The sequence below is a fragment of the Homo sapiens genome, chromosome 4 (genome assembly GCF_000001405.40).
Source record: "Homo sapiens chromosome 4, GRCh38.p14 Primary Assembly".
NCBI lineage: Eukaryota > Metazoa > Chordata > Mammalia > Primates > Hominidae > Homo > Homo sapiens.
The window spans coordinates 66,526,635-66,535,648 of NC_000004.12; positions in this window are offsets into that span (position 1 = coordinate 66,526,635).

Consider the following 9,014-nt stretch of genomic DNA (forward strand, 5'->3'; position numbering starts at 1 on the left):
CTTCTATAGATTGATTCTTCTCCTGGTCATAGGCCATATTATTCTGCTCTTTACTTCTCATAATTTTTATTGGATGTTGGCTATTGTGAAGTATTTAGATTTTCTGTGCTCCTTAAAAGAGTGTTGATTTATGTTCTGATCAGCAATTATTTTATCTTGGAATCATCTTGATCCATAACTAGTGATGGTTTTAAATTGTGTTGTGATAGGTCTAGTGAAAACTTTACTCTAGGGCTAGTTTAGCTCTCTATAAAAAGAGGCACTTTCTGGGTCTTGACTGAATACCCTGAGTATTTAGTGAGGTCTCTTCACTCTGGCTGTTTAGAATTATTACATGTTCTAACCCTCTTTGATCTCAGCAAGTTTTTCAGATTATATTTTTTTTAGCAATTGGTATTTGTTTGGGCTTATAGATTACACTCCTGGCACTGCTCTACAGATCAATGGAGAATTTTCCTGAGTAGTTCCTTCTTAAGCCAGGACTCCTGAAAAATTTCAGCTTCCTCAGTCTTCCCAAACTACTATCTCTGCTTCATCAGCTCGGTGCGGCTCACATTGCTATTCTAATATTTCCCCTTGCTTCATTGTGTTCTAGAAATTCCCTTCAGGACAAGATTCTGTGCAAACATAAAGATGATATATTTGTTTCCTTTTTTATAAGTGTTGCTGAATTCCATTTTCTGACAAATAGTTATGGCATATATTTTGTCCCATTTTCCAATGTTCTACACAACAGAGCCTAATCTGATGCCAGTATCACTGTTGTGGTCAGAGGCATGTGTCTCTGGATTCATTCTGAAGAGAGAACTGAAATGATTTGCTCATGGATTAGACAAAGAGTAGCAACAATAACCCTAAGACTTTTACTTTGTGTACTTAGAATGATAAAGCTGCCATGAAGGGGACAGGGATCACTGTGGGAGAGGAAGGCTTTTTATGATTTTATGTTGGTGAATGGTATAAATACCCAGAAATGTACTAATATGGGTTGGCTATGTCCCCACCCAAATCTCATCTTGATCTGTAGCTCCCATAATACCCATATGATGTGGAAGGGACCCAGTAGTAGGTAATTGAATCATGGTGGTGGGTCTTCCCTGTGGTATTCTTGTGATGGTGACCAAGTCTCATGAGATCTTATGGTTTTATAAAGGGGAGTTTCCCTGTAAATGCTGTCTTGCCTGCTGCCATGCAGGATGTGTCTTGCTGCCCCTTCACCTTCTGCCATGATTATAAGTCCTCCCAAGTCATGTGGAACTGTGAGTCTATTAAACCTTTTTCTTTTATAAATTACCCAGTCTTGTGTATGTCTATTAGCCAAGTGAGAACAGACTAATATAGTGAATTGGTATCAGGTAGTGGGGCACTGCTGTAAAGATATCCACAAACGTGAAAGAGATTTTGGAACTTGGTAACAGGCAGAGGTTGGAATAGTTTGGAGGGCTCAGAAGAAAACAAGATTATGTGGGAAAATTTGGAACTTCATAGAGACTTGGAGGTCTAAGAAGACAGGAAGATGTGTGAAAGTTTGGAGCTTCATAGAGACTTGCTGAATGGCTTTAAACAAAATGCTGATAGTGATATGGACAACAAAATCCAGGCTGAGGTGGTCTCAGATGGAGATGAAGAACTTATTGGCAACTGGAGCAAAGGTGACTCTTGCTATGTTTTAGCAAAGAGACTGGTGGTATTTTGCCCCTACACTAGAGATTTGTGGAACTTTGTAATTGAGAGAGGTGATTTAGGGCATCTGGTGGAATAAATTTGTAAGCAGCAAAGAGTTCAATATCTGACTTGGGTGCTGTTAAAAGCATTCAGTTGTATGTATTCACAAAGATATGGTTTGGAATTGGAACTTATGTTTAAAAGGGAAGCAGAGCAAAAAGTTTGAAAAATTTGCAGCCTGACAATGCGATAAAAAAAAATCCAATTTTCTAAGGAGAAATTCAAGCTGGCTGCAGAAATTTGAATAAGTAATGAGGAGCCAAATGTTAATCACCAAGACAATGGGAAAAATGTGTCCAGGGAAAGTCAGAGGTCTTCATGGCTACCCTCCTATCACAAAACAGGAGGCCTAGGAGGGAAAAATGGTTTTCTTGACTGGGCCCATGGCCTGGTGGCTTTGTGCAGTCTTGGGACTTTGTGCTCTGCATCCCAGCCATGGCTAAAAGAGGTCAACATAGAGCTCAGGCTGCTGCTTTAGAAGGTGCAAGCCCCAGGCCTTGGTGACTTACACATGATGCTGGACATGTGGGTGCATAGAAGTCAAGAATTGAAGTTTGGGAACCTCCACCTATGTTTCTGAGGATGTACGGATATGCCTGGATATCCAGGCAGAGGTGTAGGGCAGAGGCAGAGCCCTCATGGTGAACCTCTGCTAGGGCAGTGCAGAAGGGAAATGTGGAGTTTGAGCCCCCACACAAAGTCCCCACTGGAGCACTGCCTAGTGGAGCTGTGAGAAGAGGGCCACCATCCTCCAGACCCCAGAATGGTAGATCCACTGACAGCTTGTACCACGCACCTTGAAAAGCCACAGACACTCAACATCAGCCTGTAAAAGCAGACAGGAGGAGGTGAATTCTGTAAAGCCACAGGAGAAGAGCTATCCAAGGCTGTGGGAGCCCATCTCTTGCATCAATGTGATCTGGATGTGAGAGATGGAATCAAAGGAGACCATTTTGAAACTATAAGGTTTAATGACTGCCCTACTGGATTTTGGACTTGCATGAGGGTGGTAGCCCCTTCATTTTGGCCAATTGCTTCCATTTGGACCAGGTGTATTTACTCAATGCCTGTACCCTCCTTTTATCTAGGAAATAACTAACTTGCTTTTGATTTTACAGGCTTATAGGTGGAAGGGACTTGCCTTATCTCAGATGAGACTCTGGACTATGGACTTTTGAGTTAATGCTGGAATGAGTTAAAACTTTGGGGAACTGTTGGGAAGGGATGATTGGTTTTAAAATGTGAGGATATGAGATTTGGGAGGGTCCAGAGGCAGAGTGATATGGTTTGGCTCTGATCCCACCCAAATCAATATTTGCTCCCATAATTCCCATCTGTTATGGGAGGAACCTGGTGCTAGGTAATTGAATCATGGGAGTGAGTCTTTATTAGCAGCATGAGAGCAGACTAATACATGTACTTGTAAATGCCTTAGGCTTGAGATATCTGCCAGAATTATTAGAGATATACTGTGTTTGGAGTTAGATGTATAATTTTAAATTTCAGGAAAGTAATTCAGGATAGTGATTTAAACTGGGGAGTTGTCAGTGTACAGAATATATATAAGTCTTGAGACTAGGTAATATTCCTCTAAAGATCAAATATATATAATAAAAGAGATGACAAGCAAACCTCCAACCATGGACCTATTTAGGATCACTTTAATGGAAAATGAATTATTATTAGTTGAATTATTTGTGATAAAAATTATTTATTATACTCTAGGTTTTGTGCTAGTTAGTTAGTGGTACATAGAGTGGAGGCTTTTTGTTTATCCATGTACATGGAACACCAACACAGTAATAGTGAAAAAAAAATTGTGAGAGAAAAGACTGGAAAAGATTGAAAATATTTAAGTAGATATTATTGAGGATTTGAGCTCAAATATATTATTCTTCTGACATACAAGATAATAAGTCCCTGGAGGACAAGAATATTTTGTTAAATTTTATTTATGTATTTATATATTTATTTATTTTGCATGCTCTGTGATTAGTTTGGTGTAGTAAGACCTAACTTCTATTGGACACATGGCATGAGCTAGGTGCTTATTTTAAGTACTTTACTGAACCTTATTTTGTTTCACCAAGAGGACACTGATTATGAGTTGTACCATTATTAGTGAGCAACTAAGAAAAATAAAATAAACTACAAATTAAACTCTAACACACCATCAAATCTATGATGAATCTCAAAATTTAAAATGTTTGTAAGTGAAAAAATGCATCATAGAATATATATACAATTATACATATAATTGCATGTGTATATCTCTATATAATATCTATCTATCTATCTATCTATCTATCTATCTATCTATCTATTGGAGTCTTGAACCTTTGCTAACTCTATGGAAGAAAGGGAAAAAGTAAAGGTAGAGAAAGAGAAATGTACAAGGCAAAATACAAATGCATTTAGAACAGTGCCTGTTCTAAACAATGTGTAAATCAAAATTTACACATTGATTGAGCAAATACATTGTTCATCCTTTTATTTCTTTTTAAATAAGAACTTATGAGAGACGTCCTGAAAAAGTTTTAGGTGGGACTAGTTCAGTTTTGGCCTTAATAAAATGTAATTCTTGGACTATAGCAAGAAAAATAAGTTAATTTCATTGCATTTGGTTCCATATTGGATTGAAGCTACTTCATACTGTGGATAATATTACTTTTAAGCCACGGATTAAAGTGATTTTTTGTTTGTTCCATACCAATCTAATGTTAACATTTTAATAATTGAATTTGAAATAATTGAATTTGAATTTAATATATTGAATTTGTTGTTTTTGTTTACTGAAGCAATACTGGTTATATCACAAGACTATAAATCACTTAGGCGATAATAAAGATGCTTCTATAGTATCATACAAATATAATTTCAGCATTATCTGTGGATTTCATGAGAATAAATGTCATTTAAATATTTATTTATAATAGTTTATATGTAATCATTGAAAGAATTATATTTTATATACATTTCCTTGTATTGAATTTCTATATTTTGCTTTTTAGTTCTACTCCTAAGTATAGCAGACTACTAAAGGCCTAGACTTTTAAATGAACCAAAATATTGTAACTCTTTTCTCATTAAACATTTTCATCAAACATTAGATAGAAAATTAGAAAACATTTTTTGAGTTGATAACTTAAAATTCTGTTATTTTATAAAACTTGTATAATCTATGTCAGAAGTCAAGTAATATCTCCCTAAAATAGTAAGAATCATTCAGCAATTATTGCTTTTTAATTTGTAAATGTAAATAAGTATCAACATTTTTGAAAAATATATATCATAAATAAATCATCTTAGCTATATCAATTTGCGCATTTCACTAGAATAAAACTAGCCAACATAACATATGAAAAGAGCCTGAACACATGATAATAAAATTCAAAGGCCATTATCAAGGAAATGTTGACACTCAAGCAGTCAGTCTTTTCTCAAAGTTTCAAGTTACCATACATAGCGGTTATCCTGAGTTCACACAGGAATAGTGAGCCATTGGGCAGAGTATACCTTCAGGTAATATAAAAAATACAGTTAGATTCTTTTGTTTTGATCAAAACCTCCAAGGCAATGTACAGATGACTTCATAACATAGTACAGTAGTTCCATAATTGCTACATTTACCAAGTTATCATAAGATATAATTTGTATTAAAATCCTTATAAAACATACTTCCTATTAATCTGCAGAAAATATACAGAGAAATTGGCAACTAATTTTTCCAGATAATGAGATAAGGTAATGTTTGGCAAGAACATTATTAAATTTGGGTAACTTGCATTTTTTTCTTTTTAATCATGCACTTGTATTATTTCATAACAAAATAACACAAATATTTATGGACAAATAAATGAAATGAGAATAGTAAGGTATGTATTACTGATTTTAAAATTGGAAAAAATACTTGGCCAAACAGAGCATAAAACAGACATTCAAAAATTTACTGATTAATTCAACTACTGGGAACATAAAGCTTTAAAGTTCTGAAACATCACAAGAAATCAATAAATTAATCAGTAAACAAACAAGTAAGAAGCAGAGGTCAAACTAGAAGAAATATTCAACTTAAACATGTTGAAACACATACTTGGTGAAGCATTAATGATCATAATACATATAGTTTATATTAATATGTAACAAATGCTAAATTCTACTTAATATGAGAAGATGCATAAGAGACAATGTGGAGAACAAACAAAGCTGGCCTATTAACTAAGAAATGTATAATAATTAATAAATAAAAATGAAGGTACATTTTAAAAAAGATTTTACCTATCACATTTGCAAAGAGACATGCATCTTGAAATATATTTTAGTTTTCAGGCATAAATTATTTTCAAGCATAATAAATTAGTACTATTTTTGCAAAATATTTTTGAGTACTGTTTCAGATTTTTGTGTGTGCCATAGAGTGTGACACAACATTTACATTTTCAAGAATCTATCTTAAAAATTTATAAAAACAACAAATGTATTTTATATGTTTATATCAGTATGAATTGTATCAATAAGAAATTAGTAGTCCAAATCTCAGAGAAAAAATTTAAAAGATCACTAAAAATGAAAATATATAAATATTTAACTTTCTTTTTTCTTGGATGGTGGTGAAATTACAGGTTCTTTGCTTTAATGCTTACTTATCCCAATATCCATTCTGTTTTTCTTTCCTTAAATAACAGAACAGTGACAATTTTACCTGGGTACCTGACCACCTAGTTAGAGACAGTATTAGCAAGCATCCTTTGCAATTGAAACTTGTCATGTGACTAACTTCTGTCCAATAGGATGTGAGCAGAAATGATGTTTGAACTGTCTAATGATTATTTTAAATAGAAAATGATCTCCATTTAAGTCTGCTTTCTAACATTCAATGGGACTTTTCAGATGTGGCATGATGAGATTAACATCCTAAGGGATGAAGAAGCAAAAGTATAAAAGATAATCCTCTTCTTTCACATCACCTTGTATTACATAATTTTTGGAAGAGAATGATACTATCTTGTTTAAGCCACTGCTGTCTGTTCTAAATTTAAAAGTGTAGCTAATATCTCATCTGATTTAATAGGTTTCTGTATTTTAAAAATAATGTACAAGGAATATGTATGTGGAAACACAAGTTGAATTTTATTTTTAAAGGAGAAAGAAACCAAATCTAAAAATGGACAGAATTCATTTAACAAGCATTTTACAACTAAAAGCTGATGGTCATAACTTTTAAATTTTGGGGAACCTAAAATAATTTTTAAAGGCTTGTCATTAAAATGTATTATTCTATTTGTAAATAATATTCATAGAATGTCAACTTTAAATAAAAAGTTGCCTCATCTATTAATATATAGGTGAATATCACAGAATTGACTGACAGGAAGAAATTTATCATGGTAAAATTCAGGTTCTAGGGATAGAGTACCTGAGTTTCTGTCTTGGTAAAATTACTTAGGCAAGAGTCTTCTTCTGTGCAAGCTTCGTTTATTTACATCACATGTAAAATGAGCATAATAATCCAATCTAATTCATTGAGTTGGATGAGGATTACAAAGAATTTATTATGGTAACTGGCCCAGTTTGACTTCCATAAAAATTAGTTTTTATTATGAGAATGCTAATTTATAGATGGATATTAAGACTAAATAACAAACTTGGAAATGTATATGAAGGCTACTCTCAGTGGGATTCAAGGTTAAAAAGTTAATGTGGAGTAATTGAAAAAGACTAGGTGGTAGTTAATAAATTTTCACTTATCAAGTTAGCCAGTAATTTAAAGTTTTAGAGTGCCTTGGAACAAAGCTATAATAAGTGCATATTTTAAAATATTGAGCCATGTCAAACTTCACTTAACATGTGTATTTAAAATTTATTGTGCTGTGACACTTATTGGCACATTTAATTAATATCCTATAATGATGCTATGAGGCAAAGTTTTATAGAACAAGTGTTTTATAGACAGTATTCATACTCAATAGAGAATATTTTATTTGTAGTGATATTCAGTATCAAGACTTATTAATAAATTATTGATAAATTTAAATGTAGCAGATCTCTGATCTCTGGATTGTCACTGCATTCTTATAGAATGTCTTGCAGAGTAAGAAGATGCAGAAAATTAGATTCATAATTTTTCTTTTATATTATTTTATGGAAAGGTATATAATTTGTTTTACAAATAAGGGCAGGTAAAGGTGGGATAAAGTAGAATGGATGAGTAAATACAATTGGCATAAATTTAAGGTGTTTTATCATTATACATTGCCCTAAGACCAAGGTGTGAAGGTAACTATTAATACAATTTATTAAAAACCATAGGGTAGATACATTATAGAGAAAGTCTAGAGTAAAGATTATATGGTGAGTATGGGTAATTTATTTTTTTTCTTTAAGTGTTAATGATTATAATATCCATTTTCTCTTCCTTTTAGTAATAGAACATCATGCATTAATATTTCAAAGTAATTTTCTCTTTAGTGATAAAGAGTGATATCTTTAGTGATAGGGAAGTGTTGGTAAAATGAATGAGTATAGGGTGAAGATAATTGTTCTTGTCACCATGCATGCTACTCCTGAAATATGCAACAGAGAATACTTTACAATTAACTCATAGTATATTGATAGAATTTCCACAAATTCTAGTTTCGGCTGTAAAAACTGAGGCTTAGAAACGTTCATGTCCAAAATCCAACGTTTTTAAACGGCTGTGCTGGGATTGAATCCCAGGACTTTCTAGTTCATGTGTGTAATTTCCTACTAAATACTTGGAAAAATATACACGTTAAATTAGCATGGCTTCAGAATAATAATCAATGAGTCCAATAAATACTACTGAGTTTTAGTTTTTAATTCTGATTTTACCTTTCAGATATTTTACCTAGTTACAACATTTCATAATTTCTTTTGCAGTTTGATATGGTCATATGACTGTGTCTACACTAATGGCATAAGAACGCAAGCAATATGTGCAACTTTTGGTTTATCTCATTGTATTCGATTCTTTCATCAAACAAAAGGTTAGAATACAGATTTAATAGTGCTTTATTTTGGACCATGAGGACCAGGACAAGATCTTGGGGATGGTAAATGCATAAGAAGAGGGAAAGTGCTTTAGTTCTGGAAGAACATTCTAGATCTCAGCCAACATAACTTGGAGATATGAGAAAGACAAGTAAGCATCTATCTTATTTCAGCCACTGAATGCCCCATTCTCATTATTACTACATGCATTTCCATATATATCCTATATGCTAACTAATGTAGAAGCAAGAAACCAGAACAGAAAGAAGGATACAACT